Source organism: Homo sapiens, chromosome 2 (genome assembly GCF_000001405.40).
Source record: "Homo sapiens chromosome 2, GRCh38.p14 Primary Assembly".
NCBI classification, from domain to species: domain Eukaryota; kingdom Metazoa; phylum Chordata; class Mammalia; order Primates; family Hominidae; genus Homo; species Homo sapiens.
In genome coordinates this window covers 100,252,197-100,270,475 of record NC_000002.12, presented here as the reverse complement: position 1 = coordinate 100,270,475, position 18,279 = coordinate 100,252,197, and the positions used below count along the sequence as shown (strand labels likewise).

The window sequence follows — 18,279 nt, the reverse complement described above, 5'->3', positions numbered from 1 at the left end:
TTTTCTCCACCCAAATATCTCAGTGGAGTAAAGAGTAACAGAGCAGCGTTGCTGCCAATATGTCTCACCTCCTGCCACAAGGCAGTTTTTCTCCTATCTCAGAATAGAACAAATGTACAATCGGGTTTTATACCGAGATATTCTGTTCCCAGGGACAGGCAGGAGACAGAGGTTTTCCTCTTATCTCAGCTGCAAGAGGCCTTCCTCTTTTACTAATCCTCTTCAGCACAGACCCTTCATGGGTGTCGGGCTGTGGGGATGGTCAGGTCTTTCCCATCCCACGAGGCCGTATATCAGGCTATCACATGGGGAGAAACCTTGGGCAATACCCGGCTTTCCAGGGCAGAGGTCCCTGTGGCCTTCCGCAGTGCATTGTGCCCCTGGTTACTGAGAATGGAGAATGGTGGTGACTTTTATCAAGCATGCTGCCTGTAAACATTCAAGTATGCTGCCTGTAAACATTCAAGTATGCTGCTTGTAAACATTTTGTTAGCAAAGCACATCCTGCACAGCCCTAGATCTCTTAAACCTTGGTTCCATACAACACATGTTTCTGTGAGCTCAAGGTTGGGGCTAAAGTTACAGATTAACAGCATCTCAGGGCAAAGCAATTGTTCAGGGTACAGGTCAAAATGGAGTTTCTTATGTCTTCCTTTTCTATATAGACACAGTAACAGTCTGATCTCTCTTTCTTTTCCCTACAAAAACGTTCACTGGTCGTGAACTGGGATGGTGTACTAGCTCCTGCAATCTATCAGCCCTTTGAGAAATATGGAGTAAATCATAACTATAAGGACAATGGAATTAGGTAGCTATCGCTAAAATTGGCCAATGCTCTGGAAAAAGATAAAATATATGAATAGTTAATCACCAGCTGAAACCAGTGGAAGAATCGGAATATCCAGATTCCCCTGAACCTATAGAAGTAGCTTGGAGATGATGGTATGAAAGCTTCTTCTTGCAGGGGCCGATGCCACGTGCCTCTCGGAATCTACCCTCACCTTCCCTCCTGGTTACTTAGCCTGTAACTAGGGTGAAATATCAGTAAAACCCACTGGGATGTTCTGAGCCTGATGTTGGGGGAGGGAAGCACTATATTCCCCAGGAGCTGTAAGACCTTAGCCAGCATGGACCAGCAGAAGCCAGGAAACTGTACACTGGGTGGGAACCTGAGGGTGTTTTATCCAGGGGACTGGTATACAGCATTGAATAAAGGAGAGCTGGCCAATCTGGGAGTGCTGTCCTAGGATTCAGGATTTAGCACACTAACATGGAGCCCGGGAGATGGGAGATTATCCTGGTGAAAGGGACACCAGCCACACTGAAGTCCAAGCCAGAGCTGATGATAGGAGAGGCTGCTACAGAACTCGGCTCCCTCATGGCAATCAGGATGGTATAATTCCAAAACAACAGAGGCCACGTGGAAACACCAGAAGCCAGGTGAGCACGATGACTGTGATGAGGTACTGTGTTTGGGGAGTGGAGGGAGGGCTGCTGTTGGCTCATAGGTACAGAGGTGGTTATTAAAGCAGTGCATCCCTCGGGGCAAAATAGACGGCCAGCAGGGAGCCGCTCAGCCCCACTAAAAGCAATCAGGAGTGATGGTGAGGAGGCAAAGGGGTCTGGTCCTAATCAAAATTCACATTCCCTTGGACTGGTTTCCATGTCTGAGCTGCTTTCAGACCCAGAAGCCATTGACTGAGGAAGAGAACCAGGTGGAAGGGCCTGCGATATCATGGCCGGGTTCCCCAGTCCTCCTCCAGAGGTGCCATCACCCGTTCTCCCAGATAACAGTACACTGGGGGGAAGGGGAGATGGTGGATTTCAAGGACTCTGGGGGTCCAAGTCCACACCGCTTCCAGGGACATGAAACATCATCGTGACACCCCTATTAGAGTGGGTACATGGGGACCAGGTAATAAATGCAGCCTCAGCCAGGATTTGGGTCACAGTGGGTCATTTTTCTGGTACTTAAATATATTATCAGAATGGACACATTTTAGAGTATTCTTGGCCTGAGAGGTAAGAGCTATTACAGTGAAGAAGGGAAGTGGAAGCCTCCAAAACTGTTTCCTCTTCCCCTCAGCCACTCCAGTAAATAACAACAATATCATGTCCCAGGAGGGGTGGCAGAATTTAGCATCACTGTTAAACATCTAGAGGATGTGAGGTTGTAGCCCATGATTTATCTATTTAACTTACAAGTCTTGCCATTGAAAACTCCTGGTTGACCTTAGAAAATGAGAGTAGACTCTTCTAAACTCAACTGAGGATTAGCACTGATTGCCATCTGCCGTGCCAGATATATTTTTATATCTTTGCCAGGACATAGTCACTTAGACTGTAGCAAATGGTGTACACACATTGATTTTCCAAGTGCATTTTCTATCAGGAAAGAGGCACTTTACTTTCGCATGAAACAATGTGTACATTTATAGTTTTGCCTCAGGGCTAATGTTGACCTGCCTGCCCTCTGTCATAATTAAAGTAGGAAGAGATCTGGACCATCTAGAAGATTTGTAGAGCATCAAGTCACAATCTATTACATCACTGAGGCCACTCAAACTGGATGAGCAAGAAGTGGCTAGCACATCAGAGGCCTGGGTAAAACACATGCATGCCAGAGGATTGGAGATAAACCTTACAATGATTCAGGGACTTTGCCACATCAACGAAATTTCTAGGGAGGCAGGGATGAGGGGCATTCAGGACAAATCACTGCATCTTGCACCTCCTACCATGAAGAAAGAAGCACAGTACCTTGTAAACTTCTTTGGGTTTTGGAGGCAGCATATGACACATCTGGGAGTGTTGCTCAGACCTGTGTCCTGGGTGAAATGAAAAGCTGCCTGCTTTGGGGAGGGCCAAGAGCAGGAAAGAGCTCTGCACGGGGCCCAGGCTGTGGTCCGTGGGGCACTGACACTTGGGCACATCACCTGGCCGACTAAGACATGAAGAGGATCACTGGAGGGTATTATGGGCTGAATTGTGTCAGCTGACATCCCCCTGCCACAGAAATTCATATGTTGAAGTCCTAAATCCAAGTACCTTAGAATGTGACCCAAACAGGGTCACTGCAGAAGAGTTAATAAAGGTAAAATGAGGTCATTAGGGTAGGCCCTAATCCAATATGACTGGTGTCCATATAAGAGAAAATTTGGACACAACTACATCCAGGGAGGAAGCTCATGTAAAGACACAGGGGAAAGATAGTCATCTGCAAGCCCAGGAGAGAGGCCTGGAGCACACACTTCCCTCTCATCCCTTAGAGGGGACGAACCCTGCTGACACCTTGATCCTGACTTCTAGCCTTCACAACTGCAAGAAAATAAATTGCAGTTGTTTAAGGCTTTCAATTGTGGTACTTTATTATAGCAACCCTAGCAAAATAATACAACAGAAGAAAGGAGCTGTGTGGAATTTATTGCAAATTATAATAGGAGAATCACAAGACTGCCAGCATGCTGCTGGGTCCTGGTGGAGACAGAGCCCTTGGCCATGGCAGAAAGTGGACATGCAGCCACAGCTGCCCCAATGAGTTAGGGTTGGGCAGAACCATCATATAAGATGAGGCGGGTCAGCAAAAATCCATCTTAAGATGAAAGTGGTATCCCTACAGTCACACACGAGCAGGACCAGGGCACACTACACAAACATAGCTCAGACCTCTGTCATCCACCATGTGTGTACCACTGCATCTTACCAGTTCATACCCATGGCTATGTGGGGAATTCTGTATAACCAAAGGAGGAAGAAAACATCCAAGCTCAGTTCATGCTCAAGTGGGCTTGACGTGTTTGTGTGAGCTGCACATAGATGGCAGCTGCATACAGCCTTGATCAAGGGTGGCCTCGAAAGACAGTAGCGATGGAGAAAGCTCCCAATGGGCAGAATTTGGGGCAGAGTACCTGGTCATCCACTTTGTGTGGAAGGAAAACTAGGCCAGAGTTAGAATATACATGGACTCGTGGGCAGTGCCAAATGGCTTGTCTGGCTTCAGGAGCCTGGAAAGACAAAGGCTGCAAGATCTGGGGCAGGGAGGTCCGGTAGAGGCATGCGGGTAGGCACATGGGAGTGGCAGGCGGAGAGCGTGATGACAGTCTTATTACATGATAGTGCTCACTGGAGAGCATCCACCACAGAAGACGCTCCTAGCAGCCAAGTAGGCGAAATGACTCAGTCAGGTAACATGGGCCAGCCTGTGTCATTGGCCCCCCAGTGCTGGCACAATGGTGGCAGGGATGGAGGCTATGAGTGAGCCCAATGGCACAGCCTTCTACTTACCAAAGATAATGTAGCTACTGCTTCCACCAAGTGTCCAGTCTGCCAGTAATGGAGACAAATACTGAACTTGATAGAAAGCCGAAGGGCCACTGACTCATTCTGAAATCTAAATAGACTGCTACTCTGAGTACAGATTTCTCTCCCAACCAGAAGGCCTCCATCAGAAGCACTAAGACAGGGCTCATGGAGTGTTGGCTTTGTCGGCAGTGGACAGCACCTCCATTGTGAAGGACGCAGCATGGGCTGTGATGGTGGATGCCTGTCACCTACTGAACTAGACAGGAGCTTCTGATCTTATAGGAAATTGGCATGGCTGTTAAAGGCCTAGTGCCAGCTCACAGGCACTACCTGACAAGAATGGGATGCTGTCCTCCAGGATGCAGGAGGCACTTGGGATCAAGCACTTTTACATGACACTTTGTCCCCAGTAGAAAGCCCTCAGGTCTGGAAACCAAGATGTGCTGACTCCAGCTCCCAGAAGCCAACTTGGAGCATCTGTGCTTCCCATGCCCTGAATTCTGAGCTCTGCAGGTTGAAATGTCTGGGTTTCCAAAGGGAAATTTTTCCCTGGGGACACAGCGACCCAACCCCTCACTCAAACTCAAAGTAAGGGAGTGAACTGCTAAGGTCACAGACTAACCTGGGCCTATGCTAGGCCCCAGGCCTCCTGGATCCCTGCCTCTGGCCGGACCACGGTCTCAGGCAGGACCACTGCTTCTGATTCACACAACTGCCGCCAATGCCCTTTCACAGAGCGCATGGCCTCCGAAGGGTGGAGTCAGGCCAGGCAGTGTGGGAGCGTCCAGAAGATTCAGCACAGCATGCGTGAAGCGAGCACCTGCACCCAGCTGACACTCCCTGTGGGGAGGGAGGGCTTAGGGCTGGGGAGAAGGAGAAGGGTGGGTGTGTGTGTTGGGAGATGAGAGTCAGACATTTCTCCATGCCCCAGGGCCCTTTTTCTTCCTCCTCCCAGTCCTGAGGTGGGGGCTCTGACTCCTAGCACTATGCATACAGTACCCTTATTTCTAGGGGAGGAGGTGGAGATCCCTGCAGTCTGGCTAGGGAGGAGAGTGTGCTGTGTCTCACACCCTTCCATACCCAGGGAGAGTGAGGGGCGTGGTATTCCACACACCCCTGAGACCTAAGATCCCTAACATGGGCCTGGTGGCACACACTGTGGCCTGAAAGAGCAGTCGCTACTGCTCAGCAGATAACCAAGGTGCCAGCTGAGCGGAACCAGCCTCACAGGCCTGCAGAGGCTCAGATCTGCATGTTGGCCCAGACCCCAAAAATGGAACGGTAGGGTGCCCTCAAACCCATGCTCAAGGGTGCACAGGTGCCACCTGCCCCCAGATGCCGCCCCACCTGGGAGATTGTCCCTCCACTGTCACTGTGTCATGATGAAATCTTCAGAAGCCTGGGGATGTGGGGACTGGCCAGAGGCATCTGTGCCCCCAACACTCAACACAGTTCCTGCACAAAGATGCTTGTGGAAGGAAGGAGGGAGGGAAGAAGGAAGGGAAAGATGGAGGCAGGAGGGAGGGGAGGAAGGAAGGGCGGATTCTACTAGAGACCTTCTCTCATTCAGTGGTTCGATGCCACAGCCCACCATAAGGCTGTGCACGCCCAGTGTCTCGCTGGATGCTCATAGCTCAAGGGGCACTTGGGGGTGCTCCAGCCTGGGCACCAGAAGCTCTGCTGGGGCTGCATCTGATTCACATAACTGCAGCCACTGCCCTTAACTTTCCTCCATCGCCTTTGCTGAAGTCAGGATTCCAGCTGAGCCCCGTTCCTCCCTTGCCTCCCTCCCTGCCAAGATTTCTCATGCGGGCCTCTGAGGAGGTGGAGGCCTGCACCCCGCTATCAGGGAGCTCGCAAAAGTGAGTTTCCATCTGCCGAAGACCACCATGCACCCCTCGGTCCGAAAAATGCCACTGACTGACATGACTTTAGAATCTGGGAGTGCTGCACACTTGGTGGGGGAGGGGGAGGGAAGCCCCTTCTAGAAGGTCTGGGCTCTCCCTGGAGACTCTGATGAGGGTCTGAGGAAGTGGGATCCATCCTGTGCTGGCTGCTGTTTCCAAGACAGTCTCAGGAACAGCAGGATTGACTACTGTTTGGGTGCCAGCAAGAGCAAGGAGGGCTCAGCATTTGGGGATTCGTAGCAAAAGAGGGGTGCAGCAAAGCGGCTCTAGGGCACGATTGGTGAGGAAGCAGTGCTCACTCAAGGGAGATCATCCTGGCATTTTCCAGCTATAGGTTGACCCCGGGAGAAATGGCATTTTCGGCGGATGCTGCAGCTGGCTTTATCAGAGTGTGTCCTCCCAGCGGGATTAACAGCTAGGCTGCTTTCTTCTCTTTTCAGTCCAGGCTGATTTTGACTGTCACAGAGAAAAGTGTTCAAGAAGATGTTGAAGAAATATTCACCCTGACTGCAAATCCCCACACTGAGAAGTATTCCTTCTATTTACTTTGTACCTCCTATAATAACAAGGACAGCCTTCTTCACATGGTTGTCATGCAAATGCCTATAGAATAAATGAATGCATGCAAGAACGAATGAGTTATATGTTTTAAATAACGTTTTGGTTTTTTTAAAAATGTGCTAAATGTTTTAGGTATGTTAACTCCTTATGCCAACCTTATGAACATGTCATAGGACAATCTATTGTTATCCTCATTTTACAGATAAGGAAACGGAGGCTTTGAGGCATTAAGGCGCTTGCACAAGGTTGCAGCAAGTGTGGAATCGGGACCAGAAGACAGACAAGACAGGTTGGTCTGACTCCAGAACCTGCAGGCTGCGATGATACAGCTCAAGAGTGACACTGCTCCCTCAGAAGCCTGTGCCACCTCTTGTATTTCGGTTGTTTATTATTTTACTTTTTTATTATACTCCAGGTTCCTCAAAGGCAAAGGACCCTGTCCTAATTCATCCCCCCATTATCTTGCACAGAGCTCTGCTTGTAGTCTTTCATGGATACTTGATGATTCAATGAATAAAGAAGAAAGAGAGGGACAGAAGAGAAGGAGAGGATGGAAGGAAGGAAAGGAGGGAGGGGAAGGAAGGAGGGGGCTGTCATTTTGGTCAAATTTCCTTCATAAGGACAAGAGATGGGTAAGGCGAGCCCTTGTCTTTTGCGCCACCTGCTGGACATCCTCCAGTACTGCAGGGGACTGGAGAGCCCGGGTATGAGCTGCGAGCAGGATTTCCCTGCTTTCCAAAGATTTGGGATACATCAGCGACGTTGACAAGGCTTCGCTGAGAACCCAGGACGAATGGCTTCAAGACGACAAACCATAGGCCATATCATTGTGAAGCAGGACCACCCTAGATGTCTCTCCACTGTCACATGCCCTAGGCAGAGTTGGACGTCCCTCTGTCAAAGAGGCCAGTTGGAAGATCCTGTTGTCAACCAGCTCCATTTCCCCGCTGACCTACATAGCTACCCTTCTTCATCTCCGCTTGATCTTCAGGTGGCGCTGTGTCACACACTCTAGCTTTAAGTTTCTCTGTGCTCAGGCCTCTTTCTTGAGTGGCTATTACTTTAAAATATTTTATATTTAAAGATATTGGAGACCTTCACTTAAAGGAGCCCTGGAATGAGTCCTTTTATGAAGCCAAGGACCTTTTCACAAAGCCAAAGGATTTACCTTTATTGTACATTTAAAAGATTTTTTACAAAATCCTGGACACAGCTGTATAAATAGTAAAAGAGGATGAACTGATTATCTTTTACTGATCATGGTGAAACCAAAATCACCTAGTTTCACAGATATGTGGAAGGTTTCTCCTGGAGTCTGTAAGAGTGACAGCAGGTCAGAGAATGGATTAAGAGTCTGGGGAAATGAACTCTTGGGCAAACTTGCTTACTAGATACAAACCGAGTATAGTGCTCTGTCCTTCCCAACAATGGTGACAGCGGCCGCAGCTCCTTCCTCAAAAAGCCTGTTTTCATGCTGCTTCCTCCATTTACAGGGAAGTATCAGTGGTTACCACGCCAAGGGAGAGTGGCTTTGTAACATAGCTTTGGAAGCCTGAGTCCTGTGTCTCTGCCCCTTTGTTAGGTGCTGTAAGGTGAAGACTGTAGGATTTGAGTCATATCTAGTTTCAGATTTTGTCCCCAGCCCTCACTAGGTGTGGTTCAGTTAACCTAAGCTCACTAAACTTCACTTTCCTCACCTGTGAAATGGGATAACAAACTCATCTGCCAGGGTTATTCTGAGGATAGATAAATTCATGTAAACATAGTAAGCTCCAAAGAAATGGTAGCTGTTATTATCCCGAGTGGAGATGGGTGAGGCCTCTAGTAATCTATATCTTCATTCTCTCCTTCCTTCTAGGAATACGCTCAGCTTACAAACTACAGTTCCAATGGCCAATACGATAAAAGGAAGTTATTGGGTGAAACCTCAGGAAATGCTATTGAAGGGGAAGCTTATGCTTCTGACAGTCAGCCTCTGAGCTTTCCCTCTTCTTTCTTTTCCCTGCCTGGGACTCAGGAGTGAGAGGGGAGCTGAAGCAGATGTCGTGACCATGATGTAGGCTTGTGGAGAAATGCCATGTTTTAGGACTGGTGAAGCAGAAGACAGAGTTGGGGTCTCTCATGACATCGTGGGGCCTCCCTAGCAGCCCTGGACCACCTGCTTCTGAGAAATTTCAGATTACATAAGAGAAAGACACCCCTACCTAGCTGAAGCCCCTGTGACTCGGCATATGTTGGTAGCAGCCACATGCAGTTCCTCACCGGCTCACACATATTAGTGGGCGGCTTTAAGGAGAGACCTTGTCACACTCTGGCCCTCGCTGTCTTTATAAAATGTGGCCATGACTTTGATAACCCCATGGGCCCTCCCAGCTCTCACATGACAGCCCCCCATTTCCCCCTCCTGAGTCTGGGGGTGACTCAGTGCAGAGTTTCCTTGGTCTCATCTGTCTCTCTCTCTCCTTTCTCTGCGATGCAGCAGCCTGGTTGGGGCCTAGAAGGCTTCAGGCCAGCCATCCAGATCACCTGTTGCTGCCCCTCCAATGTGGCCCGAAGGGGTCGCTCTCAGCGCACCTTCAGAGCTGGAGGGTCCTTGTGGCCAGCAGGCTAGGTGGACATTGTCCCTGCAAGCTCAGCCCCGCCCTTCCCATTCCAAGCCGCCTCTGTTGCCTCTCCTCCTCAGTGGAATGAAAGCAAAACTTCAGCAAAAGACAGCAATTGGAGAATTGCTTAAATGAAGAAGAAATAGCAGTCACAGCCCAATGTCCATCAAGTGGCTACATTTGGAATTGGCCACATGGGGTCACTGCACCCTCAGGAATGGAGGGACTTCGGCAGGGTGCCTCTGTCTCTGAAGCATGGACTGGAGAAAGCTGCTGCCTGTGGAAGGGATGGGAGATGCTCCTTTTCTGCAAAGTTGAGCTGCCTGGGACATGCTAAGTCCCTCCCCACGGCCAGGCGGGAAGGCGCTTAGTGTAAGGCCTTGAACCAGAGAACAGTCTTCCAAAATATTACTCTTACCGTGATTTTCATTGTTATTACAGGATTTTGGAATTCCTACGTACTCTTTTTGTTGTTGTTCACAGCTGATGAAATCTGTAGATCCTCTCTGTAAAAAGGTGTGAATATCAAATGCAATAAATCCAGGTCCTGGATGGTGAGTGAGTTTCTGGCTCTGTCTGCTGGGTCTGCTGGGTGCATGATGCCAGGTAGCGTGGTAGAGTCAAAGGACTGTGCTGCAGGCCCCAGGCCTGGGTTTAAATCTTTGCTGGCTAGGTGACCTTGGACAAGGTGCTTCACTTCTTGGAGACTTGAAAGCCTTATTTATAGAATGAGAATTCTAATATCTACCTTGGTTTGGAGTTAATGTATATGGAGCGCCTATCAGTGCAAGGCACATAGTGAGCAATTAGTACATGACCATGCTCTTCTCGGGTTAGGGAGCCCAGGAAGAAGAGAGGCTGGGGAGAAGGATCTGAGCTCAGCTATATGTTCAGATGTAAGTTCTCAGTAGCCTGGGAAAGGCAGGTGCAGGTGGAGCTGGCTGTGAGCTCAGGAGACCTGAGGCTGCCACCTAGGGTGAGATACAGCTGCAGGTATGGGCATCAGCAGGTAACTGAAGCCACTATAAGTGATATATGCCAGTGCCTCTCAAGCCTTCACACACTCAGAAGCATCTGGGTTCACTGAAACACAGATTGCTGGGACACCCAATCCTGAATACTATGTGGTTGGAACCAGTTCTTTTAAGATGCACAACACAAGGCCTGGACTCACTGCTGTCTGATGCCTGGTCTAAAGCCAAGGGGGAACTTCAGAATTTCCATTTGGTTTGGAATTGTGCCTTAGGAAGTGTCTGGCACTGCCAAGCCCTGTACCATCACCTTGTTTGTTGCTTTATTATTGTTTGGTTTGTTTTTGTTTGTTTGTTTGAGACGGAGTCTTGCTCTGTCGCCCAGGCTGGAGTGCAGTGGCACGATCTCAGCTCACTGCAACCTCCACCTCCCGGGTTCAAGCGATTCTCCTGCCTCAGCCTCCCAAGTAGCTGGGACTACAGGCACACACCACCACTCCCAGCTACTTTTTCTATTTTTAGTAGAGATGGGGTTTCACCATGTTGCATGGGCTTGTCCCGAACTCCTGACCCCAAGTGATCCGCCCGCCTTGGCCTCCCAAAGTGCTGGGATTACAGGTGTGAGCCGCCACTCCCGGCCTCATTGCTTTATTTTTGCCTCCAAAATATTTCATTTGACCAATCCCTGGCTTTGAAACACTTGAAGATTATGGGTTTAAACAGTGGTTCTCAAAGCTCATTCTTGAGAGCAGCCATGTTTGCATCGCTTGGGAACTTGCCAGACATGCAGTCTTCGGCCCCATCCCAGATCTGCCAAATGAGAAGCTCTCGGGTGGGGACCAGCCAGCTGGGTTCTAACAAACCTGCAGCAGCCACGCATGTGCTCGAGAGTCAGAAAAGCACTGCACTAGAGAAAGGGTGGCTTGTGGCCATGCCTCAGCCATTCTCCTGTTGGTGAAGTCTGCCCCCAGCACCAGCTTCCTTAAGGTGACCCTTCCTTCTTCGGCATTCCCAACCCCTACCTTTCCTGCTGCCCCCCATCAGACTCCAGGTGCTACTTGCTCATTCCTCCATCCCCTGCTCTGGCATCTAGCAGTGGGTAGCGATGAGTTCATCAGGTGTGCCAATTTTTACTGGTGGTGTAAGGGGAGTAATAAGGTCCCATCCCAGATTCACCTGCAAAAAAAAAAAAAAAATTGCATGCATTCTTAAGAACCTTAAAAAAGAGAAAGTACCACAAGGATGTATGCAGATGTGGGGATAGTCCGTGGCCTTTGGACACCCCTCAGATGGCTAATGCACAGACCGCCATTGGTGGGGCCATCATAATAGCAGTCCTAATAATGATGATGACGAGGACAGCCACAGCATCTGACATCTGCGGGCTCCTCACTGCAAGCCCATGGGCTCCACAACTATTATCCCATTTTACAGAGGAGGGAAGGCAGACTCAAGGAGCTTAGGTGACCCTGCTGCCATTCACACATCTGAGGACTGGGGGAGCAGGCTTTCCACCCCAGCCAGTTACCCCTGCCCTACACCAATGCCGTCCCCAGCTCTCTGCCCCCCAGACCCCATGGGGTGTCTCTGAAGAGACAATGCTAGCAGGAAGACAGCTTAATTGGAAGACATTTTCTTTAGGCCAACGAAGTCTATGCATCTTACATTATCTGGGCACATCTGTGGAATGAGCATCCTCCAGGAGGATGCCTCCAGGATCGTGAGCATGGAGCCAGGAGTGGGAGGGGCAGGAGCACTGTGCCCACAGGTGAACGATGGACCGTGAATGTCAAGTTCAAACTTCAGATGAGAAGGCGCTCCTCTCCTGGGGTGACAAAGGAGGGGAAATTCCTTCCTTCTGATCCATGAGAAGAGAGAAAAGGGCCCCACCCCCAGCACCCTGTATACAGTAGGTGCTCAGGAAATACAAATTGAACCCATGACTGGTCATCCGCCCAGGGCCGCCGAGTCTGGATTACTGATTTGGTTTTTCCGGGAGTCGTGTTTTCTAAGGACTCTGTTTTCTCTTGCCATGAAAATGTGCCTATTTTTAGCTTTGATTCGTGCAGGCTGCAGCATGAATCACCTAAAATGCCCCGCTAGAAAGAGCTGGGATTAGAGAGCAGGTAGTTGAATTGGACTCAGCGTCCCTGCATGAATGCAGGACCCTGAAGACCCTGGCATCTGGAAGGTGGAGGGCAGGAGGAACGCCCATGCCTTGTAGAGGGAGGGCTCTGGGCGTCCTGGGTATCTGACCCGCCTGTGTGTATTTAGTCCAGAAAAAGCAGGTTTTCACACAGTTCTTCAGTCTGATGAAATTCACCTTCAAAAGGCCCTAAATCCAAAAGCTAAAATGCAATAAAAGAAAATAAGATGCAAAGCCACGGCAGTGATTTTTTAGTTTAATTGGGAGCCTTCCTGGCTCACTCCTCATTCTCCTTGCCCCAAATTTCTCCAGCTTCTCTGGCCAGGGTCCCAACCACACTATAAAACTACCAATGACACCACCCAGGGTGCCAGGGACAGCTCAGGGCCCTTTGCATGTGCTGCCTCCAAGGTGGGCACTGGCCTGGCCCCACTGCCTAGATGGAGACACAGGCACAAAGAGACAAGTTGGCTTGCCCAGGGTTGTATAGGGGGCAGTGGCACAACTAAGGATCTGAGCCAGAAAATCAATGCCACTTATTGGTCTCTCTCATTGGCACGGGCCCTTCCTTTCCTCATCACTCCCTGGCACCCACCTGGGAGGAGCTGTGATGGCCAATCTTATGTGTCAACTTGACTGGGCCACAGGGTGCCCAGATGTTTAGGCAGACATGATTCCAGGTGTTTCTGTGAGGTTGTTTTTGCGTGAGATTTACATTTAAACCAATAGAGAGAGTAAAGCAGATGGCCCTCCCTAATGTGAGGTGAGGGGGTTGCAATCAACTGAGAGCCCAGATAGAATAAAAAGGCTGAGGAAGAGGGTGCCTCTCCTACCTGACTGCTGTCATTTGAATGGGAACATCAGCTTTTCCTGGTTCTCCAATAACTTTCCATCTGTGGACTCTAACTGGGACATCAGGCCTGTGGATTTGCCAGCCTCCACAATTGCGACAGCCAATTCCCTAGAATAACTATATTTCTGTGAATACAGATACACACTTTCTATTGGTTCTGTTTTTCCAGGGAACCCTCATCTAGGAGCTTTTCAATTCTATGCTTTTTGCAGCCCCAGGACACTTAGTGAAGCACCAAAGCTGTCGTGGGGACAACAAAGGTCTTTTGAACCCAGGGGACCCCCTTCCCAGTGGACCCTCATCCCTGAGAAGAGCGTTTCCTCCTCCCTGCCCTCCAGGAAGGGCTGTGGGAGGAAGCGCAGGCCCAGGAGGTGGGCAGGGTGGTGGGTGAGCGGGGTCAGGACTGGAGGTCAGGAGCGATTGGGGGCCAGTGAGGGACCGGTGGGAGCAGAGGGGATGTCAGCCTGTGGCCCCCAAGCAGAGGTCGGAATGCAGCCTCCCCGTCAGATGCGGCCCCTGACACTGGGGGCACCAGCAGAGATCAGGTGGGGGCCGGGGTGGCAGCCAACCCTAGTGTCCCAAGGGGCGCCCCAGGGCATAGCAGACTCGCTGCAACATCTGTTTCTTATCACTTAGTCAGAAAACAACATATTAACTCAGAAAACAACAATGAAGCACCTCCCTTGCCCAGGCTCTGTGATGGGCCCCGGGTACAGGAAAGTGAGCAAAGCCCAGGCCTGCCCTCAAGGGAAGACAGACACAGCATCGCCCCCAATATTAATATTAGCACCTTCCATGGAGCTCAGCGTGCCATGCACTGTTCCTGGTATTATTCTAGCCCCATGTACGGTCACCCCCTTATCCATGGGAGAAAAGTTCCAAGACCCCCACTGGATGCCTGAAACTGAGGTAGTACCAAATCCTACAATACTGCTTTTTCCTAAATGTACATACCTAGGATAAAGTTCAATTTATAAATTAGGCAGAGAAAGAGATTAACAACTAATAACAAAATAGAACAATTCTAACGATATACTGTAATACAGTTATGTGAATGTGGCCTCTTTCTTTCTCAGAATATCTGATTGTACTGCACTCACCCTTCCTGCGATGAGCGAGATGGTGAAATGCAGGCATGATGAGACAAATGGAGGGAGTGGACAGAACAAGAGTCTAATATGCTGCTCAGAATGGCAGCAATGAAAAACTTAGGAATTGCTTATTTCTGAAAATTTCCATTTCATATTTTCGAACCATCATTGATGACTGCTAACTGACACTGTGGAAAATGAAGCCATGGACAAGAGAGGCTACTGTATGATATTAATTCATTTCATCTTCCCAGCAGCCCCGTGGAGGAGGTACTATTACCCCATTTTATATATGAGGAAACTGAGGTTTTACCCCATTTTATATATGAGGACAGAGAGGTTAAGTGATTGGCCTAAGTTCACACAGCTCTCAAGGGCCAGATCTGGGGTGTGTACCCAAGTAGTCTGGCTCTACTTAATGATAAAAAATTATAACGCAATACTAAAGTGCAACCCTAAGGTGTGCAGCAGGCGCAGTGGATGAACAGATGGGGCGTTCCATGTGGATGGGCAATTATGGACCGAATGTTTGTGCCCCCCAGAGTCTCATGTTGAAGTCTTAACCCTGCAGTGTAATGGCTTTGTACTGGGAGGTGGGTCTTTGGGAGGTAATTGAGGCATGAGGGTGGAGCCCCCATAAATGACATTGGAGTCGTTATAAAAGTGACCTCCGAGAGCTCTCTTGCCCTCTTTCCACCATGTGAGGACACATGAGAAGCTGACAGAGGGCCGTCGCCAGAGCCTGACCATGTGGCCCCTGACCTGAGACTTCCAGCCTCCAGAACTGTGAGCATCAGTGTTTATCTTGAAGCCTCTCAGTCTATGGTAATTTGTTATTGCAGCCCCAACTGACCGAGACGCTAAGGGCTTCACCGAAGGGGAGAGGCCAGGCCGGGTCCTGAGGCAAGGGTAGGAGCTTGCCAGCAGGTGGTGGTGAGGCCACAGAGTCCTGATTCAAGGCAGAGGCAAGAACTTCACGTTGGAGAGCGAGCCCAAGGCCGGGAGGCTGAGGGGAAATTGGGAGAAGTCAGGAAGGCTGGGTTGTAGGAAGCTAGCCATGGCCACTTGGATCCAGAGGGCCCCTCTACAGACGGGAGAAAGGCCAAGAGTCACACCAAGGTACCACACAGTCACCTGACATGACACATCTGGCCGGGCAGGGGCTGCGAGAGCCGCCCATTTGGGCAGGGAGCCGTCATTCAGGACTGACATTGTTCACAACGGAGCTTGTGGTGGTGATGAAAAGAGGGCTAAACTTGAGTTAGTTTTCTTCTCATTTTAAATTCTCTATAGACAATGCACCTCCTGCTTCCCTTGTTCAGGCCAGCCACTCCCACCACCATTGGTTAAAAGATAATAAGGCCGGGCGCAGTGGCTCACGCCTGTAATCCCAGCACTTTGGGAGGCCGAGATGGGCAGATCACGAGGTCTGGAGATCAAGACCATCCTGGCTAACATGCTGAAACACCATCTCTACTAAAAAAATACAGGTGTGGTGGCGGGCACCTGTGGTCCCAGCTACTTGGGAGGCTGAGGCAGGAGAATGGCATGAACCTGGGAGGCAGAGCTTGCAGTGAGCCAAGATCCTGCCACTGCACTCCAGCCTGGGTGACAGAGCAAGACTCCATCTCAAAAAAAGACAAAGAAGAAGAACCTTTGGAACAGCTGGGTCATCCGGGCAGAGTGTTTGGTTTGGTTGCTGTTTTTTTGGGTGTTTGTTTTTTGTTCATTTAAGCCTGGATTCCTTAGTATATATAGGGTAACATTCCCTTAAGACAACTTAAATACAATGTCAGCCACACATGCAAGCCACATGGGTAATCGAGTAGCCATATTTTTTAAAAGTGAAGAGAAACAGATGAAACCAATTTTAATATTACTTTATTTCACTTAATATATTAAATATCTAAAAATTAGCATTTCAACATGTAATCCATAGAAAAACTATTCATGAGTTATTTTCCTTTGTTTTGTCTTTGAAATCTGGTGTGGGTTTTCAACTCGGCACCCACCTCCGCTCGACTCTCCACTCTTCCAGCGCCCAACAGCTGTGTGCAGCAAGCAGCCTGGGACAGGGCAGCACAGCCCAGCGCCTCTAAAATGAGCCCAGATCAAGCTGTGGCCACTCAGACCATATCAGTCCCTTTGAGTTTTTGGTCTGCTTGTTTTTGTCATCCAATAGGACCTTCACTGAGTCAGCAGGCATGTACCAATAAGCCCTAAATATTAAGAACACATTGATGTGATTCCCAGGGTAGCAACATCTCCTTACTTGAAAAGCACAACCCAAACGCAGGCCTTGCAAAGTGGAGTAGCCGATGCTGAGAGAAGAGCTGCTTCCACCGCTTTCATCAGCACCATAATCAAAAGGCATGAGAGGCTGCAGCTGAAGGGAGGGGAGGGAAGTGGTCAAGACCAGGAGTGATCAGCTGGGACCTCTACAACCAGCGTTCAGGGTGGACATGGGTCTCTCTGCTTTCCTGCTCTCTTTGGCTCCACTGTTCATTTTGAAAGCCATGCCGCTTCATGTCGGTAAACGAACTGGTCCTAAGGTCAGCCCAGGGAAAAGCATGTTAATAGATCCTCCAGACCTCAGGTTCTAAAGAACTGAACAGCATTTTCCTAAGATGCCTCAGGCGCCACCTAAGCCACTGGGCAGGAAAGCCTGCCAAGTCTTTTTCAGGGCCAGAAGCAAGGTTTCACCAACCGGGCCCCTCCACCCTGGCCCAGGGACTCACATTCTACGGAGCTGGGGCTCCGCTGAGCACAGCTCTCCCCTGGGCTGGAACGCCCATCTGGCGGCCTGCCCTGGCTCAGGAGGAGACAAGCCTGGGAGGTCATCCATGAAAACTCCACACTGCCTCCTGGGCACTCGCTTCTTTCTTCTGACCACCAAAACATATATACACAGGACTCTTCGACTTTTAGAACGGCTTTGATAATCCCTGCAAGGAGAGACTGGGTTACAGAAAGCACAAAAGTGGTCAATTTGCAAAGGTTCCCAAACCTTGGCGAGTTCTTCTAGTTCCTGACTTCTACCTGGGATGGCAGATGGTAACTTGACAGGACCCAGGGACGGATTTTTGAAATGAAATGTTGCATACTACAGAAAAGCCCTGTGAATATAATCCCACCTTTGGCCCCATTGTTGACTCTATCAAATCCTAACATGTTTATGGATTTGATTCATATTTATTTTTAAGACGTGAACAATTATAGGTAGTATGATATAATAAAGAATAATAAAAATAATAGGTTTGTGAGTGCTGGTGTATCCTTCCCCCAACGTCTGTGTGTGTGCACACATGCACACACAGGCACATGCATTCATGCACACTCACACACACACACACACACACACACACACACACACAGGTAGTGAGTGAGCCCTCAGATCCGGCCTTTAGCCTGGGAAACTCCTCATTCTGTACAGGCTGTAGAGACCACCGACCATGGAGCTTGTTTGAGGAACTAAAGATGTAAAAAGGAATATAAGCCAGTGGGGTGCGGTGGCTCACACCTGTAATCCCAACACTTTGGGAGGCCAAGGTGGGTGGATTGCCTGAGCTCAGGAGTTTGAGACCAGCCTGGGCAACACGGTGAAACCCCGTCTCTACTAAAATACAAAAAATTAGCCAAATGTGGTTGCGTGCACCTGTAATCCCAGCTATTCAGGAGGCTGAGACAGGAGAATCGCTTGAACCCGGGAGGTGGAGGTTGCAGTGAGCCGAGATTGCGCCACTGCACTCCAGCCTGGGTGACAGAGCAAGACTCCATCTCAGAAAAAAAAAAAAAAAAAGGAATCTAAGCCGTTCACTTTACCCTTAAACTTGGCTACATACTTT

General features: G+C 49.5%; 1 annotated feature.

The window, feature by feature from the left end:
• Positions 14,970-15,469: an enhancer, noted in NCBI's record as "H3K4me1 hESC enhancer chr2:100871469-100871968 (GRCh37/hg19 assembly coordinates)". NCBI's record gives its function as "activates a minimal SCP1, AML or CMV promoter by ChIP-STARR-seq in naive H9 embryonic stem cells {active_cell/tissue: H9 hESC(naive)}" and the evidence as "EXISTENCE:reporter gene assay evidence [ECO:0000049][PMID:30033119]".